The sequence below is a fragment of the Homo sapiens genome, chromosome 19 (genome assembly GCF_000001405.40).
Source record: "Homo sapiens chromosome 19, GRCh38.p14 Primary Assembly".
Lineage (NCBI taxonomy): Eukaryota > Metazoa > Chordata > Mammalia > Primates > Hominidae > Homo > Homo sapiens.
Genome location: NC_000019.10, coordinates 11,623,638 through 11,647,570, shown reverse-complemented (window position 1 = coordinate 11,647,570; position 23,933 = coordinate 11,623,638). Strand labels below are relative to the sequence as shown.

The following is a 23,933-nucleotide window of genomic DNA, read 5'->3' as shown; positions in this document are numbered from 1 at the left end:
AATTGAAAAATAAATAAATAAGTAAATAATATGGTATTTGCTTAATTTCCATCATCCTTCTGAGAGTTTGAAATTTTGTGATATAATCAGCAGAGAAGCATACCTGATCAGTCACTGCTAGGTTTGAATGTTTGTCCCCTCCAAAACTCATACTGAAACTTTATCCCCAAGGTGTCAGTATTCAAAAGTGGGGCCTTGAAGAGGTGACTATGTCATGAGGGCTCTGCCTCATGAATGGGTTCATTCACTGATGGATGAAAGGGTTAATGAGTAAATGAGATATCCTGGGAGTAAGACTGGTGGCCTCAGAAGAAGAGGAAGAGACCCCTAAGCTAGCACCCCCTCCCCTAGGAATACCCTTCTTCCATTGCCTCAGATAGTGAAGAGTCCCCACCAGCAAGGCTTTCACCAGATGTGCCACCGTGCCCTTAGACTTCCCAAACTCCAGAATTGTACAAAACAAATATCATTTCTTGTATATTACCCAATTTCAGGCATTCTATTCTAATGAACATAAAACAGACTAAGATGGCCATGAAAAAAAAACTCTGGGTACTAAGTGTCTGAGTGACCTTGGTACGTAACATTTCATATGTTCTGTCAACACTTGTTACTTGGGGGATTTAGCCCATTCTATGTGATTACAATAAGAGAACACCTGGAAGCTGGCAACCGGTTTTCCGTAAACTAAATTTAATGAAGTGTAACGTAAGGTTAATGAAATGTATTTCATCATCCTAAAGGAAAATTTTTAAATACTAGGTAACATCAAAGGAGAATGAAAGATGGATAAAGATTGTACACGTTCTTCTAAAGAACCGCTTGTCAGCCAGGCGCAGGGGCTCACACCTGCAATCCCAGCACTTCAGGAGGCCGAGGTGGGCAGATCACAAAGCCAGGAGTTCGAGACCAGCCTGGCCAACATGGTGAAAACCCATCTCTACTAAAAATACAAAAATTAGCCGGGCGTGGTGGCAGGTGCCTATAATCCCAGCTACTCGGGAGGCTGAGGCAGGAGAATCGTTTGAACCCGGGAAGTGGAGGTTGCAGTGAGCTGGGACTGCGCCATTGCACTCCAACCTGGGCGACAAGAGTAAGACTCCATCTCAAAAAAAAAAAAAAAAAAAAAAGAACTGCATGTCACCAAGGTGTCATCTCTCATGAATATTTATGAAATTCCTTAAATCATTAAAACAGACCTGTTAGTAGTCAATAAAAGCTACTTAAACAAAACTAATGGAGGTAACAAATGTCTAAAAATGCTAAAAATCTTCTAAACCAGAAAGTGACAGCTTACCTAACACACATGAAGGATTTTGAAACTATAATATTCAACACACCACACTGTTGACAGAAAGATGAACAAAGAGAAAAAGGTAAGTGAAAATGTAGAACAGGCCAGGTGCGGTGACCTATTCTACCATCTTATTTGCAAATATTATATTTATTTGCAAATATTATCTTCATATACTCCAATTTCTCCTGGGCCTACGAAAAGTCTGAAATAAGGCTCTCTTCTCTGTTTCAACTACACTAAAGCCTAACTGGGGTCAAAAATTGGCAGGGACTACATAAAAATATTGTCAACAAAAAGCCTGCAACCATCTGGAACAACAGTCTATGACTGAGACAGAATAGACCATCTAAGACCCAGGAAAACAATCTGGAGAGAAAATTAGCTTCAGAAATTAGGCTAATCAAAAGCACTTTGGTATCCTGGGGAATTGAGAAAGCCTCACGTCTGCCCAGGAAATAACACATTTCTAGAAAAAACCTGAGGAGGCCCTAAGTTTCGGCACTGGCTGATCTCTAGGCTCAGTTCAGCAGAAATTGGAGGCTAACGCAGAGTTTTAAACAGTCGGCCGGGCGCGGTGGCTCACGCCTGTAATCCCAGCACTTTGGGAGGCTGAGGCGGGCAGATCAAGAGGTCAGGAGATCCAGACCATCCTGGCTAACACGGTGAAACCCTGTCTCTACTAAAACTACAAAACTTAGCCGGGTGTGGTGGCGGGCACCTGTAGGCCCAGCTACTCAGGAGGCTGATGCAGGAGAATGGTGTGAACCCGGGAGGCAGAGCTGGCAGTGAGCCAGGACCACGCCACTGCACTCCAGCTTGGGTGACAGAGCGAGACTCCGTCTCAAAAAAAAAAAAAAAACAAACAAAACTCAGGCCGAGTGTTCAAGGAATGCTGCACGACAAAGCCATCCACAAAGCCTGGAAGAAGTCAGGTTTGGGCCTCTTTTTGTTTGATTGTTTGTTTGTTTGTTTGTTTTTTGAGACAGAGTTCTGCTCTTGCTGCCCAGGCTGGAGTGCAGTGGTAAGATCTCAGCTCACTGCAACCTCTGCCTCCCAGGTTCAAGTGATTCTCCAGCCTCAGCCTCCCCAGTAGCTGGGATTACAGGGGCCCACCACCACGCCTGGCTAATTTTTGTATTTTTAGTAGAGACAGGGTTTCGCCATGTTGGCCAGGCTGGCCTCGAACTCCTGACCTCAGGTGATCCACCCGCCTTGGCCTCCCAAAGTGCCGGGATTACAGGCATGAGCCACAGCACCCGGCCAGGTCTGTTTTATTTTAGCTCCTAGCATTCAGGAAACCTCTCTCAAAACACTAGATGAACACAAGTTAAAGGAACAGAGCCTTCATTGACTAGAGAGGACAGGGAATACATCTCTGTAAACATACTTTGAAAAAGTTACTACCAGGCACAGTGGCTCACCCCTGTAATGCCAGCACTTTGGGAGGCCGAGGCAGATGGATCACTTGAGGTCAAGAGTTCAAGACCAGCGTGGCCAACATGGCGAAACCCTGTCTCTACTAAAATTATTAAAATTAGCCGGGCATGGTGGCGCACGCCTGTAATACCAGCTACTCGGGAGACTGAGGCACGAGAATCATTTGAACCCAGGAGGAGGTGAAGGTTGCAGTGAGATGAGATCACGCCACTACACTCCAGGCTGGGCAACAGAGCGAGACTCCATCTCAAAAAAACAAACAAACAAGCAAAAACTACAGAAGGTAGAAAAAGAGAAAGTTTTAAAAATAGAAAACGAGGCCGGGAGCAGTGTCTCATGCCTGTAATCCCAGCACTTTGGAAGGTCGAGGTGGACAGATCACCTAAGGTCGGGAGTTTGTGACCAGCCTGACCAACATGGAGAAACCCCGTCTCTACTAAAAAATACAAAATTAGCTGGGCATGGTGGCACATGCCTGTAATCCCAGCTACTCGGGAGGCTGAGGCAGGAGAATCGCTTGAATGTGGGAGGCAGAGGTTGTGGTGAGCTGAGATCGCGCCATTGCACTCCAGCCTGGGCAACAAGAATGAAACTCCGTCTAAAAAAAAAAAAGAAAGAAAGAAAGAAGAAAACAAGTACAACAAACAGAGAACAATTACATATATACATATTAATACAATTATATCAATTACCACTTTAAATGTCTGTTACTTATATACACAAAAAAGAGACACAGATTGACATAGTAGATTAAACAAGCCTCAGTAATGTGTACAAGAAAATCATTTCAAACAAAAAGAAGTGAATAGATTAAATAAAAAGGTATGAAGAAAGATAAGCCATTCTAACACTAATCAAAAGAAATGTGCAATAGTTTTATAAAACTCAGACAAACCACATTTTAGATCAAGGAAAATGGCAAGGAATTTTCCTCATAATTGCCTTGGGCTTGCTTTTTTTTTTTTTTTTTGAGACAGAGTCTCATTCTGTTGCCCAGGCTGGAGTGCAATGGTGCAATCTCGGCTCACTGCAACCTCCACCTCCCAGGTTCAAGTGATTCTCCTGCCTGAGCCTCCCGAGTAGCTGGGATTACAGGTGACTGCCACCACACCCGGCTATTTTCTGTATTTTTAGTAGAGACAGGGTTTCGCCGTGTTGGCCAGGCTGGTCTCGAACTCCTGACCTCAGGTGATCCACCTGCCTTGGCCTCCCAAAGTGCTGGGATTTCAGGTGTGAGCCACCACGCCGGACCATCATTGCCTTGTAAAAGAGATTTTGTAACAGTGAAGAGGTCAATCCTGCAAGAAGACATAATAGGACCAGGCGCAATGACTCACACCTGTAATCCCAGCACTTTGGGAGGCCAAGGTGAGCAGAATGCTTGAGTCCAGGAGCTCGAGGCCAGCCTGGGCAACATGGCGAAGCCTTGTCTCTACAAAAAAAAAACAAAAAAAAACAAAAATTAGCTAGGCATCGTGGTACATGCCTGTAGTACCAGCTACTCAGGAGGCTGAGGCTGAAGGATCACTTGAGCCTGGGCACTGGGAGGTCAAAGCTGCAGTGAGCTGTGATTGTGCCACTGCACTCCAGCCTGGGAGACAGATGGGGACCCTGTCTCAAAAAAAAAAGACATAAGGTATAATAATCTTTATTACTTATATGTATGCCCATAAAATATAACATCAAGATACAAGACAAAAACATAAAACTATAAGACAAAATATACAAATCCAAAATTATAGTTGGAAGCCAACAGTTCACCTCTATCCATAATTAATAGGTCAATACAACAAAAAAATCACTAATGATATAGCTAAACTCAACAGCATCAATAATGTATTAGTCCGTTCTCATTCAGCTAATAAAGACATGCTTCAGGAAACTTACAATCATGGCGGAAGGGAAAGCAAACACGTCCTTCTTCACATGGTGGCAGGAAGGAGAAGAACGAGTGCCCAGCGAAGAAGGAAGCCCCTTATAAAACCATCAGATCTCTTGAGAACTAACTCACTATCACCAGAACAGGATGGGGAAAAACACCCCCATGATTCAATTATCTCCACCAGGTCCCTTCCACAACAGGTGAGGATTATGGGAACTACAATTCAACATGAGATTTGGGTGGGGACACAGCCAAACTGTATCAATTAATCAACTGCATTTAATTAATATGTATTTATAGAATCCTTCATTCAACACCAGCAGAATACACATTCCTCTCAAGTTCACATGAAATATTCACCACAGTAAACTACACTGGAAGCATAAAATATGCCTTAACAAATTGAACAGAAATGCTATAAAGTATGCAATCAAATCATATTAAACTAGAAATTGATAACCAAAAGATAGTTGAAAAGCTTCCAAAAGTAGAGATTTAATCTGCAGCTGAAATAGGTGAACCAATCTTTGCAAGGTGACAAGCCCAGAGAGAGACAGTAAGGACCTAGAACACAGACAAGTCTAACTCAAGTGTCACATCGTATCCTCCTGTCACCAGGGGCATCCCCCATCCCCATCCTGCTCACTGAAGTGCTCAGTGACCACCCTCCCAGGAGACGACACATTGTGCGTCCCCTGTGTTCCTAAAGTGCATTTTGCTTTTCAGGTTCTTGCACCATCTCAGTGGGGTGGGTTTTCCTGTCCTTAGGAATAGTTTTCTCCCTTAACTATGCTGAGAGCATCCAGAAAACAGGAATCATTTCTGTCCTGTCCCTTCAATACCACCATCCAACTGGCTGATGAGCCAAGTGTCCCCAAGGAATGGAATCTGGATTTGGGGAAGAAAAGCTGAGTGTCCCAGGGGATTAGAGCTTTTTTTTGAGACTGGGTCTCACTCCAGTTGCCCAGGCTGGAGTGCAGTGGTGCGATCGCAGCTGACTGCAGCTTTGACCTCCCTGGCTCAGGTGATCCTCCCACCTCAGCCTCCCCAGGAGCTGGGACTAGAGGCACGCACCACCATACCCGGCTAGTTTTTTTGTATTTTTAGTAGAGACGGGGTTTCGCCATGTTGCCTAGGCTGGTCTCGAACTCCTGGACTCAAGGGGTCCACCCGCCTCGGCTTCCCAAAGTGGTGGGATTACAGGCTTCCCAAAATGGTGGGATTACAGGTGTGAGAGACTGTTCCTGGCCCAGGATTAGCTTTTTAAGGAGGGGAATACCAGGGGACTTCTCCCACCCCAGGGCACCTAGCTCCTCTCCTGGGAAGCCCCAACTCCACGCCTCAGGTTGTCCTCTGGGAGGAGTGACCCACCCTCCAAGAAACATGGTAGCTGTGGGCATCTTCAGTCAGCCCCAGGCAGTTCTGAAACCCAGGACCAGGATAAGATGGAGGGTGAGTTGAGGACACATCGCCCTGTAAAGTTTCCAAAGATAAACCTCAACCCAAAGACATTCTCAGAAGGTGTCCGTGCCTCGGGCAGATAAAAGGAGGAGAGGCATAAAGATTGTTTACAGCAAGTGTCAGGTGCTTTTTCTCCGCTTCCTCAAGTGTGAAATGTTCACAAACACACAACAAATCTTTACAAAAAGAGCCATATTTTGCCCTCTTAAAAAAAAAAAAGCCTATTAAAATATTGCGTGTGGCCAGGCGCCATGGCTCACACCTATAATCCCAGCACTTTGGGAGGCCTAGACGGGCGGATCACCTGAGGTCAGGAGTTCAAGACCAGCCTGGCCAACATGGTGAAACCCCGTTTCTACTAAAATACAAAAATTAGCCGGGCATGGTGGCACGCGCCTGCAGTCCCGGCTACTCGGGAGGCTGAGGCAGGAGACCCGCGAGGTAGAGGTTGCAGTGAGCCAAGATCGTGCCACTGCACTCCAGCCTGGGCAACAGAGTGAGGCTCCGTCTCCACCAAAAAAAAAAAAATTATATATATATATTTAATATATATATAATTCATATATACATGAAAAACGTGTGAGGACGGTTGCAGTGGCTCATGCCTGTAATCCCAGCACTTTGGGTGGCTGAGGAGGGTGGATCACCTGAGGTCAGGAGTTTGAGACCAGCCTGGCCAACACGGTGAAAACCCGTCTCTACTAAAAATACATGAATTAGCCGCGCGTGGTGGCGGGCGCCTGTAATCCCAGCTACTCGGGAGTCTGAGACAGGAGAATCGCTTGAACCCAGGAAGCGGAGGTTTCAGTGAGCCGAGATTGCGCCACTGCACTCCAGCCTGGGCGACACAGCGAGACTCTGTCACAAAAAAAAAAAAAAAAAAAAAAAAAAAAAAAAAATATATATATATATATATATATATATATACACACACATATATACATATATACACATATATATATATATACACATATATATATATACACACACACACACATATATATGGCTATGTTTGAAACAAAGCCTGGGGGACGAAGAGTTGACATTGTTGTGGTGAACTGAAGAGGAGGCCAGCTCTAAAACGCGGAGCGGGATCTGGAAATCCAGGGATTTGCTGGCAGCCCTAGGAGAAGCTAGGCCAGGGATCACAGTTGCGGATTTGAGACCCTGCTTCGCATATATCTGGATATCTCAGTAAAAACTCGAGCCCCTTGGAGACAAAGGAGGAACTGGGGACCCCACAGACCGCTGCTCCTTCCACATGAACCCCACACCCGAGGAGGATTCCCCCCATGACCCTCCCGTGTCCCCGCACAATCTAGGGAGACGCGGGGCTGCGGACGCGGAGCTGCCCAGAGAGGACTCCGGAACCTGGGCCGCAGTTGCCGCGCGGGGACCGGACAGGACGCCCGGAGTCCTGGCTGCAGGCCCAGCCCCACCCTGAGGCCGAGAGGACCGAGGACCGAGCTGGGCCAGGGCACTCGGGTCCTCAGACCCCAGAGACAACAGCGAGGAGGTCTGGGTCCCGCCACAGCCGGTTCCGGTCGGTTACAACCAGCTGTACCCTGTCTCGGGAACCCCGGCCTCGGACACTCACCATTTCCCGGCTTCCGAGGTATTCCGGTTCCTACCTACACCTCCGGCTGCCAGTACAGGTTCCAGCCCGACCGAGCAGGGAGCCGAGCGCGGGTGACAGAGAAGACGCCGCGGGCTTTTTCAACCTCGCATCCTCCAGCCTCCTGGACGCCTGATTGACAGTTCTCACGGCCCCGCCCAGCGGCTCTGATTGGATAGTACTCCAGGTCCCGCCCCCTAGGCACTGAGCGACAGAAGAAGTGATCTCCCAGTGCTGAGTGGAGCCAGATGAACAGGTTGCAGACACAGCTCTTGGCATGGGGCGGGCGGGGGAGGGGGGGTTCCTCCCTGGGCAGTGACCTGACCCCTCCCGGGGAATATCTGCATTTAAGAAGAATTCCTGCCAATAGTCTGCGAGCCCTTCCTGCTTCTTCCTCCGGGACTGGGGGGTCACAACTGTGTGCAGGGAATCCCAGACTCACTGTCCAGTGGAGACATCCCCTGGCCTCGGAGCAGAAGGGGAGCCGAGGCCACACAGGCCACACTGCAGTAGGAGAGGGGGTCTGATGTCCTCCAGGGATCAGGAATTTGGGATGAAGCTGCTGGCTGCATGACCAAGCCTTTCTCCCACCTGATCTCTCAGTCTTATTTTTTTATTTTTTATTTTATTTTTTGACGGAGTCTCGCTCTGTCGCCAGGCTGAAGTGCAGTGGCGCGATCTCGGCTCCCTGCAACCTCCGCCTTCTGGGTTCAAGCGATTCTCGTGCCTCAGCCTCCTGAGTAGCTGGGATTACAGGCACGCGCCACCACCCCCAGCTAATTTTTGTATTTTTAGTAGAGGCGGGGTTTCACCATGTTGGCCAGGATGGTCTCAATCTCCTGACTCGTGATCCGCCCCCCTCGGCCTCCCAAAGTGCTGGGATTACAGGCGTGAGCTACCGCGCCCTGGAGTCTACTCGTTTTCACCAAGAAAATAAAAACACAGCAACAATGGAATAAAATTGTTAAATGTGTGGAAAAACTGGAATTATATGGCAGCAATATTCTATGAAGGAATCAAAAGAGAAGAAAAGCAAAAACATGAACTAGCTCAGAGAAGCAGTTTTTCAGCCACTGTTCAGCAGGAAACCCCCTATTCAGGAGGTTAAACAGATTCTTGGGAGCCAGGTTCTGACTGCTGAAACAGAGCCCCAGAACCGATCAGAACCTGGTGATGAGGCCTGAACACTGAAGGATTTAACTCTAGGCTCTCAACATGCCTTCCTGTCCTGTCTGCATAGTGTGGCAACACTCTCTCCTTCCAGACCTTCATCATATTCTCTCTTTTTTTTTTTTTTTTTTTTTTTTTGAGACAGAGTCTCGCTCTGTCGCCCAGGCTGGGGTGCGATAGCGCGATCTCCGCTCACTGCAACCTCCGCCTTCCGAGTTCAAGGGATTCTCCCGCCTCAGCCTCCAGAGTAGCTGGGATTACAGACACCCGCCATCATGCCTGGCTAATGTTGGTATTTTTGTAGAGACAAGGACACCGCGCCCAGCCCCAGACCTTCATTTTCACCAGCAGGAAACTCACCTGGAGTCAGTTTAAGGTACTGACTGACATAAATTGTCAAATTCATAAACCTTTTCTCCATAAGGTAATCCAATGGGTCTTGACCTTAACAGATTTTCTACATATATCAAATCACACTCCGACTCCAGCTATTCTATGTGTAAACCAAAAATAAAATTCAAAGCCCACCCCTCTCTCCCAAACTGAAGGATTCCCCTCTCGGCTAAGGGCATCCCAAAGTAAACCTGAAAATCTAGAAATCTAGTTCAGGCCACGATGGAAAGCAGGGGTCAGACCGGTAGTCCCATCTTAGCACCTATGGTCCCAGTGATCCTCAAGTGGGAGGATCACTTGAGCCAGGGAAGTCAAGGCTGCAGTGAGCTGTGATTGTGCCACTGCACTCCAGCCTGGGCGACAGAGTGAGACTCCGTCTCAAAAAAAAAAAAAAAAATTATAATAAGTGTGGATGAGGACATGGAGAAACGGGAATCCTTGTGCACTGATGTAGAGAATGTAAAACATTGCAGCCACTGTGTAAAACAGTATGGCTGTTCCTTAAAAAGGTGAATTTAGAATTCCCCTGTGACTATTCAACTCCTAGGTATATATCCTAAAAAATCAAAAGCACAACACACAGAGACACATGTACACCAATTTCATAGCAGCCTTATTCAGAATATTACTGTGGAAAAAACCCACATGTTTATCAACAAACAAATGGATGAGCAAAGGGTGATTTATCCCTACAATAGAATATTTTCAGGCACAAAAAAGCAATGAATTACTGACACGTTAACACATGCATGCAACTTGAAAACATTATGCTAAGTGAAATAAGCCAGAGACACCAGAATAAATATTGTATACTTTCACTTATATGAGGTGCCTAGAATAGTCAAATTCATAAAGGGATAAAGTAGAATAGAGATTATCAGGGCCTGTGAATAGAGGAGAATGTGGAGTTACGTGCATGAGTATGAAAATTTAAGTTAAAAACATTGGCGGGGCCAGGTGCGGTGACACATGCCTGTAATCCCAGCACTTTGGGCGGTTGAGGTGGGTGGATACCTGAAGTCAGGAGTTTGAGACCAGTCTGGCCAACATGGTGAAACTCCATCTCTACTAAAAATACAAAACAAAAATTAGCCAGGCATGGTGGTGGCCACCTGTTATTCCAGCTACTTGGGAGGCTGAGGCAGGAGAATTGCTTGAACCCAGGAGGCAGAGGTTGCAGTGAGCCAAGTTCACGCCTCTGCACTCCAGCCTAGGTGACAGAGCAAGACTCCATCCCCCCCCAAAAAAAATTAAGTTAAATAATAGCCAGGCGTAGTGGCATGTGCCTATAGTCCCAGCTACTAGGGTGGTTGAGGCAGGAGAATCACTTGAGCCCAGAATCAGTTGGGGTTGCAGTGATGAGTGATTGAGCCACTGCATTCCAGCCTGGGTGACAGAGTGAGATTCTGTCTCAAAAATAAAAATACAAAAAATTAAAAATAAAAGGCAGTTTTCTTTTCTTTTTTTTGAGACAGAGTCTCACTCTGTTGCCCAGGCTGGAGTGCAGTGGCACGATATCAGCTCACTGCAACCTCCACCTCCTGGGTTCAAGCGATTCTCCTGCCTCAGCCTCCCCAGTAGCTGGGATTACAGGTGCATGCTACCATGCTGGGCTAATTTTTTGTATCTTTAGTAGAGATGGGATTTCACCATGTTGGCCAGGCTGGTCTCAAACTCCTAACCTCAGGTGATCCGCCTGCCTCAGCCTCCCAAAGTGCTGGGATTGCAGGTGTGAGCCACCACGCCTGGCCCTGGCAGCTTTCATATCTCAAATATTGAGTTAATTTTATACATATCCAGAATATCAGTCACACCTAATACTTACCTAATATTGATTGATAGAATGACATTAAAATGTCATTAATTGTGTAAATTTTAAAAAATTTCTTCTCAACACAAGATCTCACCATGTTGCCCACGCTGAACTTGAAGTCTTGGCCTCCAGCAGTCTTCCCACCTCAGTCTCCAGAAATGCTAGGAATGGCCGGGCACGGTGGCTCACGCCTGTAATCCCAGCACTTTGGGAGGCTGAGGCGTGTGGATCACGAGGTCAAGAGATCGAGGCCATCTTGACCAACATGGTGAAACCCTATCTCTACTAAAAATACAAAAATTAGCTGGGTGTGGTGGCGCGAGCCTGTAATCCCAGCTACTCAGGAGGCTGAGGCAGGAGAATCACTTGAACCTGGGAGGCGGATGTTGCTGTGAGCCAAGATCACGCCACTGCACTCCAGCCTGGCGAGAGTGAGACTCCATCTTTTTTTTTTTTTTTTTTTGAGACAGTGTCTCCCACTGTCGCCCAGGCTGGAGTGCAATGTCACAATCTCGGCTCACTGCAACTTCTGCATCCCGGGTTCACACGATTCTCCTGCCTCAGCCTCCTGAGTAGCTGGGATTACAGGTGCACACCACCACACCCGGCTAATTTTTTGTATTTTTAGTAGAGACAGGGTTTCACTATGTTGGTCAGGCCGGCCTTGAACTTCTGACCTCATGATCCGCCCGCCTCGGCCTCCCAAAGTGCTGGGATTACAGGCTTGAGCCACCACGCCCGGCCGAGACTCCGTCTTAAAAAAATAAAAATGCTGGGATTACAGGCATGAGCCATAATGCATGACCAAGACACTCATTTTATACCCCAAGACAAAAAATACTCGAAATGGAATGGAAGATGATATACTTTAAATGTACATCCCCGCAAAATCTCACATTGAATTGCAATCCCCAAGGTTGGAAGCAGGGCCTGGTGGGAGGTGTTTGGATCATGGGGACAGATCTCTAATGAATGGCTTGGGCCATCCCCTTAGTGATAGGTGAGCTCTTCTTCTGAGTTCGCACAAGGTCTGGTGGTTTGAAAGTGTGTGGCACCTCCCCTCTACCTCTCTCTCTCGTTCCTATTTTGCCACGTGAGAGGCCTGCTCCGGCTTCACCCTCCACCAAAAGTAAAAACTCTGAGGCCTCCCCAGAACCTGAGCAGATGCCAGCACCATGCTTCCTATAAAGCTTGCAGAAACATGAGTTGATAAAACATTTCTTTATCAATTATCCAGCCTCAGGTATTTTTATGGCAAAGCAAGAAAAGCCTAATACAGAGGTAAAAAGGTATTCCACGCAAATAGTAACCAAAAGAGAACAAGAGTGGATATGCCATTATCATACTTGACTAGACTTTAAGGCAAAACCTATTTAAAAACACAAAGAACGCTATCTTTTGTGTGTGGGGGGGTACATAGTAGGTGTATATATTTATTGGGTACAAGAGATATTTTAATACAGGCATACAATGTGTAATAACCATGTATTAGTCCGTTTTCACACTGCTGATAAAGACATACCTGAGGCTGGGAAGAAAAAGATGTTGGTCGGGCACGGTGGCTCACGTCTGTAATCCCAACGCTTTGGGAGGCTGAGGTGGGCAGATCATGAGGTCAGGAGTTCGAGACCAGCCTGGCCAAGATGGTGAAACCCCGTCTCTACTAAAAATACAAAAATTAGCCAGGCATGGTGGTGCAAGCCTATAGTCCCAGCTACTCAGGAGGCTGAGGCAGAAGAATTGCTTGAACCCGGGAGGCGGAGGTTGCAGTGAGCTGACATCATGCCACTGCACTCCAGCCTGGGTGACAGAGCAAGACTGCATCTCAAAAAAAAAAAAAAAGAAAGAAAAGAAAAGAAAAGAAAAAAAGAAAAAGATATTTAATTGGACTTACAGTTTCACATGGCTGGGGAGGCCTCAGAATCATGGCGGGAGGCAAAAGACACTTCTTACATGGCAGCGGCAAGAGAAAATGAGGAAAAAGGAAAAGCAGAAATCCCTGATAAACCCATCTCACTACTATGAGAACAGCAGGGGAAAGACCATCCCCCATGATTCAATTACTACCTCTGGATTCCTCCCACAACATGTGGGAATTCTGGGAGATATAATTCAAGCTGAGATCTGGGTGTGGACACAGCCAAACCATATCATTCTACCCCTGACCCCTCCAAATCTCATGTCCTCACATTTCAAAATCAATCATGCTTTCCCAACAGTACCCCAAAGTCTTAACACATTTCAGCATTAATCCCAAAGTCCACAGTCCAAAGTCTCATCTGAGACAAGGCAAGTCCCTCCCGCCTATGAGCCTGTAAAATCAAAGGCAAGCTAGTTGCTTCCTAGATACAATGGGGGTACAGGTATTGGGTAAATACAGCCATTCCAAAGGGGAGAAATTGGCCAAAACAAAGGAGTTACAGGGCCCATGCAAGTCTGAAATCCAGCAGGGCACTCAAATTTTAAAGCTCCAAAATGATCTCCTTTGACTCCAGGTCTCACATCCAGGTCACACTGATGCAAGAGGTGGGTTCCCATGGTCTTGGGCAGCTCTGCCCCTGTGGCTTTGCAGGTACAGCCTCCCTCCCAGCTGCTTTCACGGGCTGGTGTTGAGTGTCTGCAGCTTTTCCAGGTGCACAGTGCAAGCTGTCAGTGGATCGACCATTCTGGGGTCTGGAGGATGGTAGCCCTCTTCTCACAGCTCCACTAGGCAGTGCCCCCAGTAAAGACTCTGTAGGGGGGGCTCTGACCCCACATTTCCCTTCTGCACTGCCCTAGCAGAGGTTCTCCATGAGCACCCCACCTCTGCAGTAAACTTTTGCCTGGACATCCAAGTGTTTCCATACATCTTCTGAAATCTAGGTGGAGGTTCCCAAACCTCAGTTCATGACTTCTTTGTACCTGCAGGCTCAACACCATGCGGAAGCTGCCAAGGCTTGGGGCTTCAACCCTTTGAAGCCACAGCCCAAGCTGTACGTTCGCCCCTTTCAGTCACGGCTGGAGTGGCTGGGACACAGGGCACCAAGTCCCTACATTGCACACAGCACGGGGACCCTGGGCCTGGCCCGTGAAACCACTTTTTCCTCCTGGGCCTCCGGGCCTGTGATGGGAAGGGCTGTGTAAACGTGTCTGATGTGGCCTGGAGACATTTTCCCCATGGTCTTGGGGATTAACATTTGGCTCCTTGCTACTTAGGCAAATTTCTGCAGCCAGCTTGAATTTCTCCTTTAAAAATGGGTTTTTCTTTTCTACCGCATCATCAGGCTGCAAACTTTCCAGAGTTTTATGTTCTGTTTCCCTTTTAAAACGAACGCTTTTAACAGCACCCAGGTCACCTAGTCACCTCTTGAATGCTTTTCTGCTTAGAAATTTCTTCCTCCAGATACCCTAAATCATCTCTCTCAAGTTCAAAGTTCCACAAATCTCTAGGGCAGGGGCAAAATGCCACCAGTCTCTGCTAAAACATAATAAGAGTCACCTTTGCTCCAGTTCCCAACAAGTTCCTCATCTCCATCTGAGACCACCTCAGCCTGGATCTTCTTGTTCATATCACTATCAGTATTTTTGTCAAAGCCATTCAACACATCTGTAGGAGGTTCCAAACTTTCCCACATCTTCTGTCTTCTGAGCTTTCCAAACTGTTCCAACCTCTGCCTGTTACCCAGTTCCAAAGTCACTTCCACATTTTTGGATATCTTTTCAGCAACAACCCACTGCTGGTACCAATTTACTGTATTAGTCCATTTGCAAGCTACTAATAAAGACATACCCAAAACTGGAAAGAAAAAGAAGTGTAATTGGGCTTACAGTTCCACATGGCTGGGGAGGCCTCAGAATCATGGTGGGAGGCAAAAGGCACTTCTTACATGGTGGTGGCAAGAGAAAATGAGGAGGAAACAAAAGCGGAAACCCCAGATAAATCCATCAGATCTTGTGAGACTTAGTCACTATTGTGAGAATAGCATGGGAAAGACCAGCCCCCATGATTCAATTACCTCCCCCTGGGTCCCTCCCATAACACCTGGGAATTCTGGAAGACAGAATTCAAGTTGAGATTTGGGTGGGGACACAGCCAAGCCATATCAAATCACATCAGGATAAATCAGGTATTCATCACCTCAAGCATTTATTGTTTCCTTGTGTTACAAACAATCCAATTATACTCTTTTATTTTTAAATGTAAAATAAATTATTGTTGACTGTAGTCACCCTGTGTGCTATCAAATACTAGATTTTATTCATTCTAAGTATAATTTTCTACCCATTAACCACCCCTATTTTCCTGCCTCCTCCACTACCCTTCCTAGCCTCTGGTAACCATTCTTCTGCTCTTTATCTCCATGAGTTCAATTGTTTTATTTTTAGCTCCCAGAAATTAGTGAGAGCATGTGAAGTTTGCCTTTCCGTGCCTGGTTTATTTCACTTAACATAATGACTTCCAGTTCCATCCATGATGTCGCACATGACAGGATCTCAGTCTTTTTCATGGCTGAATAGTACTCCACTATGTATATGTACCACATTTTCTTTTCATTTCTTTTCTTTTCTATTTTGAGATGGAGTCTCACTCTGTCACCCAGGCTGGAGTGCAGTGGTGCGATCTCGGCTTACTGCAAGCTCCGGCTCCTGGGTTCACGCCATTCTCCTGCCTCAGCCTCCTGAGTAGCTGGGACTGCAGGTGCCCTCCACCACGCCCGGCTAATTTTTTTTGTATGTTCAGTAGAGACGGGGTTTCACCATGTTAGCCAGGATGGTCTCGATCTCCTGACCTCGTGATCCGCCTGCCTCGGCCTCCCAAAGTGCTGGGATTACAGGTGTAAGCCACCGTACCCAGCCAATATGTATCACATTTTCTTTATCGATTCATCTTTTGATGAACATTTAGGCTGCTTCTGAATCTTGGCTATTGTGAATAGTGCTGCAATAAACATCAGAGTGCAGAAAGCTCTTCGATATGCTGATTTCCTTTCTTTTTGGAATACACCTAGCAATGTGATTGCTGGATCATAGGGTAGTTCTAATTCCAGATTTTTGAGGAGCCTCCAAACTGTTCTCCACAGTGGCTTAGTATTTTACATTTCCACCAACAGTGTACAAGGGTCTCTTTTTTTCACATCCTTGCCATCATTTGTTATTACCTCTCTTTGGGATAAAAGCCATTTTAATTGCGGTGAGATGATGTGGTATTGCTGTTGTCTTTTCACTTCTCTGATGATGTGGAGCACCTTTTCATATGTCTGATTTTCATTTTTATGTCTTTTTTTGAGAAATGTCTATTCAGATATTTTGCCCATTTTTAATTTGAATTATTAGACTTTTTTTCCTATTGAGGTATTTGAGCTCCCTCTATATTGTTTATTAATCCCTTGTCAGATGGATTGTTTGCAAATGTTTTCTCCCATTTTGTGGGTTGTCTCTTCACTTTGTTGACTGTGACTGTTTCTTTTGCTGTACAGAAATTTTTTTTTGTTTTTTTTTCTGAGACAGGGGTTTGCTCTGTCTCTCAGGCTGGAGTGCAGTGGTGCCATCTTGACTCACTGCATCCCTGACCTCCTGGGCTCAAGTGATTCTCCCACCTCAGCCTCCCAAGTAGCTGGGACTACAGGTGCATACCACCACACCTGGCTAATCTTTTGTATTTTTTGTAGAGATGGGATTTTTTCATGTTGTCTTGAACTCCTGGGCTCAGCCTCTGAAAGTGCTGGGATTACAGGCATGAGCTACTGCGCCTGGCCTATTCTTCCCTCTCCTTTCCTCCAGCAGCAGGAATCTCTCCCCATAGCCACCACAGGTAGAAAGGTGCTGGGTCACACCTGAAGCCAGTACAGCTCTAAGTCTTACCCAAGGCCCATACAAGTACAGCCTGGCTACCCCTGCTGATCACTCAGGGCCCAGGGGTTCAGAAGGTGATGAATTCTGCCAGGACTGGGTCCTTCTTTTCAAGGCAGTAGGTTCCCTTCTGGCCCAGGGTGTATCTAGAAATGTCCAGGAGCTAGGGCCTGGAATAGAGGCCTCACGCCTCTGCCTGGTGCCCTATTATACTGTTGCTGAGCTTGCATCCAAGTTGCAATATAAGTCCTCTTTACTCTCCCCTTTCTTCTCAAGTAGAAGGAAGTAGTCTCTCCCTGAGCTGCTGGCTGTACTGCCTGGGGTCAGGAGAGTGGTGGCACAAGTATTCCCTTTGCCACCCCAGCTAGTGTCTCACTAGGTCATGTGCACACCAAGTCCGCTGGGTCCAAGCCCACCCAACACCAAGACTTACACAGGAATTGCAGTCCTTGTGATCCTGACTACCTTTCAAGTTTCTTCAGGACACCAGAACATTTTAGCCCACGGTGACAGGGCTTGCCAGAACTCAGGTTCTGGCAATTGGGATGGACAATTCAACTCTGGCTAAGGCTGATCTAAACGCTCCCTCCATGGGCACTGGCTGAGTTCTGCCCCATATTGCTTTCTGCTAATGACAGGGCAGCACTGAGTTCCAATGCAAAGTGCCACAATCACTGCGCTCTCCCTCTCCCAAGCTTACAGATTCACTCTCTATGCCATTTGGCCTCTGCGAGAGGATGGGAAAGTGGTGGCATAGGCAATTCAAGGCTGCTTTCCCACCCTCTTCCGTGCCTCTTTACTTAATATAAGACCAGGCACTGTGATTGCACAGCTGATGTTTGGTTCTTCTTCTTCTTCTCCTCTTTCTTCTCCTTTCTTCTTCTTCTTCTTCTCCTTCTCCGTCTCCTTCTTCTTCTCTTTTTTGATACAGAGTCTCACTCTGTCACCCAGGCTGGAGTGCAGTGGCACGATCTCGGCTCACTGCAACCTCCACCTCCCGGGTTCAAGCGATCCTCCTGCCTCAGCCTCCTGAGTAGCTGGGATTACAGGTGCACACCACCATGCCCAGCTAATTTTGTATTTTTTACTAGAGACGGTGTTTCACCATATTGGCCAAGCTGGTCTTGAACTCCTGACCTCGTGATTTGCCTGCCTCAGCCTCCCAAACTGCTGGGATTACCGGTGTGAGCCACTGCGCCCAGCCTAAGTTACTTTTTGTGTGGATAGCTGTTCAATTTGGTGTTCTTGTTGGGGGAACAATCACTGGAGGGTTCTATTTGGCCATCTTGCTCCTCCTGCTTCTGTATCACTTTTGACCATGGTTTTACCTATATGGTAGGTAAAAGATCCAGCCAGGTGTGATGGCTCACGCCTGTAATCCCAGCACTTTGGGAGGCTGAGGCGGGAGGATCACCTGAGGTCAGGAGTTCGAGACCAGCCTCAATATGGAGAAACCCCGTCTCTACTAAAAATACAAAATTAGCCGGGCATGGTGGTGCATGCCTGTAATCCCAGCTACTCGGGAGGCTGAGGCAGGAAAATTGCTTGAACCCAGGAGGCAGAGACTGCAGTCAGCCAAGATCACGCCATTGTACTCCAACCTGGGCAACAAGAGTGAAACTCTGTCTCAAAAAAAAAAAAAAAAAAAAGAAAGAAACTCAGGGAGACAGACAGTAAGTGAAAGGAAAGAATAAAATAACCTCTGCTCACATTTGAAATTATTAAGTTCTTTTCAATAAAATTTCATGCTGTAGTAAATGAACTGGATGTAATTTTTTGGTACAGGAATGAATTCACAAATTTTTCCTTGAAAATAAAAATGTTTTCAACCTAAGGTCATTTATCCTAAAAATTGTTCTTTTTGACTTTGCTTTATTAAAAACTGCAAATATAAAACATCTCAGGTGTGGTTACTCATGCCTGTAATCCTAGCACTATGGGGGGCCTAGATGGGATGATCGCTTAATGCCAGGAGTTCCAGACCGGCCTGGTCAACATACTAAGGCTCCATCTCTATTTTTTTTTTTTTAACGTATATCTAAAAAGGCAATTTTCACATCTCAAGAACGGAAGCACTTCTGAGGCTGGGCACAGTGGCTCATACCTGTAATCCCAGCACTTTGGGAGGCCACAGCAGGCGGATCACATGGGGTCTGGAATTTGAGACCAGCCTGGCCAACATGGTGAAACCTCATCTCTACCAAAAATTCAAAAATTAGTCAGGAGTGGTGGCACACGCCTATAATTCCAGCTACTCAGGAGACTGAGGCACGAGAATCGCTTGAATCTGGTAGGCGGAGGTTGCAGTGAGCCGAAATCACGCCACTGCACTCCAGCCTGGGTGACAGAGCGAGACTGTTAAAAAAAAAAAAGCCGGGCGCGGTGGCTCAAGCATGTAAGTAATCCCAGCACTTTGGGAGGCCGAGGGGGGCAGATCACGAGGTCTGGAGATCGAGACCATCCTGGCTAACACGGTGAAACCCCGTCTCTACTAAAAATACAAAAAATTAGCCGGGCGTGGTGGCGGGCGCCTGTAGTCCCAGCTACTCGGGATGCTGAGGCAGGAGAATGGCGTGAACCCGGGAGGCGGAGCTTGCAGTAAGCGGATATCGCGTCACTGCACTCCAGCCTGGGCGACAGAGCAAGACTCCGTCTCAAAAAAAAAAAAAAAAAGAAAAGAAAAGAAAAAAAAGGCTGGGCGCGGTGGCTCATGCCTGTAATCCCAGCGCTTTGGGAAGCTGAGGCGAGCGGATCACGAGGTCAAGAGATGGAGATCATCCTGGCCAACACGGTGAAACCCGTCTCTACTAAAACTACAAAAATTAGCTGCGCCTGGTGGCGCATGCCTGTAATCCCAGCTACTTGAGAGGCTGTGGCAGGAGAATCGTTTGAACCCAGGAGGCGGAGGTTGCAGTGAGCTGAGATCACACCACTGCACTCCAGCCTGGGCAACAAGAGCGAAACTCCGTCTCAAAAAAAAAATAAAATAAAATAAATTGAAGCATTTCTCATAACCAGAATACCATAGTCACACCTACTAATTTCCTAATATTAGCTGACAGCATGACACTGGAATCTCATAAATTATATAAACAATTTAAAAAATATTTTGTAGAGACACAGTCTGACTATATTGCCCGGCTGGTCTTGAAGTCTTGGCCTCAAGGGATTCTGCTGCCTTGGCCTTCCATTGCATATGGAAACGCAAAGTGGAAATGTTATCCATTTAACATAAAAGACAACATAACCTTAAAAATATGTGTGACATTCCCTATCCATAGCTCTGTCTGCAGCCAGAATGAAGAATGAGTCCTAGATTGCCAAAATAACTTTTAATTCTAAATTGTTGAAACTTACAAACTGCAGCGTTGCTTTTCTTTTTTCTTTTCTTTTCTTTCTTTCTTTCTTTTTTTTTTTTTTTTTTTTTTTTTTTTTTGGAGACAGAATTTCGCTTTTGCCCAGGCTGGAGTGCAATGGCGTGATCACAGCTCACCGCAACCTCCACCTCCAGAGTTCAAGCGATTCTCCTGTCTCAGCCTCCCAAGTAGCGGGGATTACAGGTATGCGCAACCACACCTGGCTAATTTTGTATTTTTAGTAGAGGCGGGGTTTCTCCATGATGGTCAGTGCAGGGAGCCAAAGGCCGCTGGGACACGACAAACTCAGCATTCCGCAGGAGTCTATATGATCAAACAGCAAACTGTTTATCATGAATGCAGGTTGTGGGCAAACTCACACTGCCCTGCCACCAAAAGGTTTGCTGAGGGACATCACTCCCTGGCACCGGGCTCCTTGAAGTTATCTACTGAGAAAATTAGTGCCTATTGTCCAAAGGATGCAGTCTCACAAGCCTGCTGTGAACCAAACAGAACCAAACGGCCAACTGACAATTACCCGACAATCACTCCCTCTTTTCTCACTATCCCTTTGGCCTAATAAATACGGAGGACTGTGTAAAGCTCGGGGCCCTTGTCCACTAGAGGCAAGGTGCTGCCCCCATCCCTTCTTCCAAATATACTCTTTTGTCTCTTGTCTTTTATTCCCACGTTCGCCCCCCTTTGTTCAGTCCCCCTAGGTCCGTGCAGGTTACACAGTGGCACCCCAAACAGCGACAGGATCGGAAGCTCTATAAGTGGCACTCGAACAGGCGGCAGTCCAAACACGGGACTATGAGGACGTGAACGAAGAAGGTCTGCTGGAGTAGAGGAACTGAAATTGACAAGACGCACGGGGACTCCGGGATGAGTCTGCCGATAGCGTATGTAAGGTCAGTGCCCTAAAGAAGTACTGGGGGCAGTGCTTTAAAGAAGTACTGGGAAGGGGAAGTTTTCTGAATCAGGTTAACAAGGGGAAGAATTTGTCTACTGAAGAAAAACATTATGTGCACTTGCTTAAGTTTCTGTTGAGACAGTCTGGAGCTCAGGTTAATTCGCAGGCACTAACTAACCTCCTGCAGAAGCCACAAATGGTTATTCACGCATCACCCATGGTTTCCACAGGCAGGCACTCTTGATGCGGAAAATTGGGACAGAGCAGGAGAAGGATTAAAACAGGCTCATCAAAAAGGTTTTAAAGTTGATTCTTCAGTTTTCTCCACTTGGAGTTTAGTTCATACTGTACTTCTGCCATTAGCTCCTTATTATTCTGCGGGACAGCAGGCTGAGTCTAAAAATCTGAAAGAATCTGTTGTCCCACCCACAGCGCCAACTGAAAATAAAAAACAGGTGAGGGAGGATAAAAATTGGCCTATACCGCCTCCTCCAATCGCAGAAACATCTGTACTGCCTCCTTCAGTAGCAGAAATAGAGACCCCAAAACAAACAACTTTATGCTCTGCTGCCATAGCTGGAGAGCCCTTAGGACCTTGCACTTTTCCTATTTCCGTAAGGCCCGATTCAAATAATCCACAGCAGTTTATTCATGAACACACCCCACTAGAATTTAAGTTGTTGAAGGAATTAAAAACTAGTGTGGTCAATAATGGAGTACATAAGCCCATGGTTCCCGGAAGAAGGAACGCTAGGCTTAGAACTCTGGGAATGAGTGGGGAGAAATCTTGAACAACATCAGGTGCAAAGGCATCAGGTCCCAGTAAAATCTTTAACGTTATGGGCTTTAATTAGAGCAGTCCTGGCTCAGTTTACACACAGAAGAGCCTAAAAAGAGGAAGGAGGAGAAAACGTCACCTGCCTTATCACCTTCTCTTCCCTCAGCCCCAATATCACTGGGCCAAAAATAACAAAGAGGAAACAGAGGTCTTACCTAAGCCTCCTCCTCCAATAGATAGGAAAAAGGACAGAGGATACGCTACAGCTATCAGTCCCTGTCTTGAGCAGGCAGCATTAGAAGGAGAGCTCTTAACCTGCTCAGTAATGCAAAATCGGCAAGGCAAGCAGGTGTATGTCTGTAAAAAGATAAGAAAGGCCGGGCGAGGTGGCTCATGCCTGTAATCCCAGCACTTTGGGAGGCTGAGGCGGGCAGATCACCTGAGGTGGGCAGATCACCTGAGGTCGGGAGTTCGAAACCAGCCTGAGCAACATGGAGAAACCCTGTCTCTACTAAAAATACAAAATTAGCCGGGCGTGGTGGCAAGTGCCTGTAATCCCAGCTACTCGGGAGGCTGAGGCAGGAGAATCGCTTGAACTTGGAAGGCGGAGGTTGCGGTGAGCCGAGATCGCGCCATTGCACTCCAGCCTGGGCAACAAGAGCAAAAACTCCGTCTCAAAAAAAAAGAAAGAAAAAAGGCATTAGAAGCCGAAACCGCGCGACCAAGCAAGCGGTGGGCGGAATAGAAGGTTCAGCAGCAGAAAAGCTGGCAGCGACCAAGCCCACAAGGTCCGCCCAGGCTGGCAGCATGCCCCACCCCCGGCAAAGGAGGGAGGGAGCGGCGCAGACACAGGCAAAACCTGAGCAAGTACAATGCGGCCGCCGCCAAGGACCTGCACCGCAGCCCTCTGGCTCTGTGAGCAGCCCATAGCAAAAGTTCATGTGTTACGTACGTCCCAGACTATGATTCTCTGCTAAGATTTAAGTAAAATGTAAGAATTTGAAAAACCTCTTTTCTAATAATGGCCACTGTTATCTCTCTCCTACCCCTAAGGTAGCTTTCCAAATTCAATTTAAGTAAAACAGTAACCTCTGAAGGGAAAGAGATTACAGAGGGCCCACGAATTCATTAATGAGTAATTAAAAGCTAGGCATGTAAAACCACACATTACCCTTTAAAGGAGAACTTTAAACCTAATTAAATGATATTTGTCAAATTAGAAGGTAAAAATGTTGTGTCCTTCTCAGAAAGTGAAGAAAAGTTGTAAGTGTAGTGAAAACTTATGCATGAATGACTGTCTTACCCACTGATTACAGATAGTGTGATTTGTACTTGCTAAAAGAGTCCTAAATTGAGTTCCCCAGCCAGTGAGTCACTGTTTTCAAGACTGTTTGCCAGATTAAAGTCCATAAACTTGGTCAGCCCAAAAACTCAATTACAAGATTTAAGCTATTCCGCCCGTGGTTTTAAGCACATGGTTAAAGTATATCATTTAAGTCTCTGCTTCTAGAGACGCGTTCAGATTTTCTTTTTAAACTTATTACTATTTCAGCTAGCAATCTTAATGATTAATGCAGTCCAAATGCTAAGTTATGACCCTCATATCATCAGGATTCGTTTAAGTAAAAGGCAATTCGAAGCGGTATTTCACTCCCCCATACCTAAGGCTTTAACACGGTTTACTGATGGGTCTGGTAAACATGGAAAAGCAGCAGGCTAGTAGAGACCACATAATTCAATCACTCGATCTGAGTTTACTAGCACTCAGAGAGCTAAGGTTACTCTGTTTATTTATTTATTTATTTATTTTTGAGACGGAGGCTCGCTCTGTCGCTCAGTCTGGAGTGCAGTGGTGCGATCTCCACTCACTGCAAGCTCCGCCTCCCGGGTTCACGCCATTCTCCTGCCTCAGCCTCCCGAGTAGCTGGGACTACAGGCACCTGCCACCGCGCCCGGCTAATTTTTTGTATTTTTAGTAGAGACGGGGTT

The 23,933-nt window shown here is 46.5% G+C and overlaps 2 annotated features.

Moving 5' to 3' along the window:
- Nucleotides 7,810–7,899: a silencer, noted in NCBI's record as "silent region_10125". NCBI's record gives its function as "represses an Ori minimal core promoter by ATAC-STARR-seq in GM12878 lymphoblastoid cells {active_cell/tissue: GM12878}" and the evidence as "EXISTENCE:reporter gene assay evidence [ECO:0000049][PMID:35858748]".
- Nucleotides 23,433–23,933: an enhancer, noted in NCBI's record as "H3K4me1 hESC enhancer chr19:11734453-11734953 (GRCh37/hg19 assembly coordinates)". NCBI's record gives its function as "activates a minimal SCP1, AML or CMV promoter by ChIP-STARR-seq in naive H9 embryonic stem cells {active_cell/tissue: H9 hESC(naive)}" and the evidence as "EXISTENCE:reporter gene assay evidence [ECO:0000049][PMID:30033119]".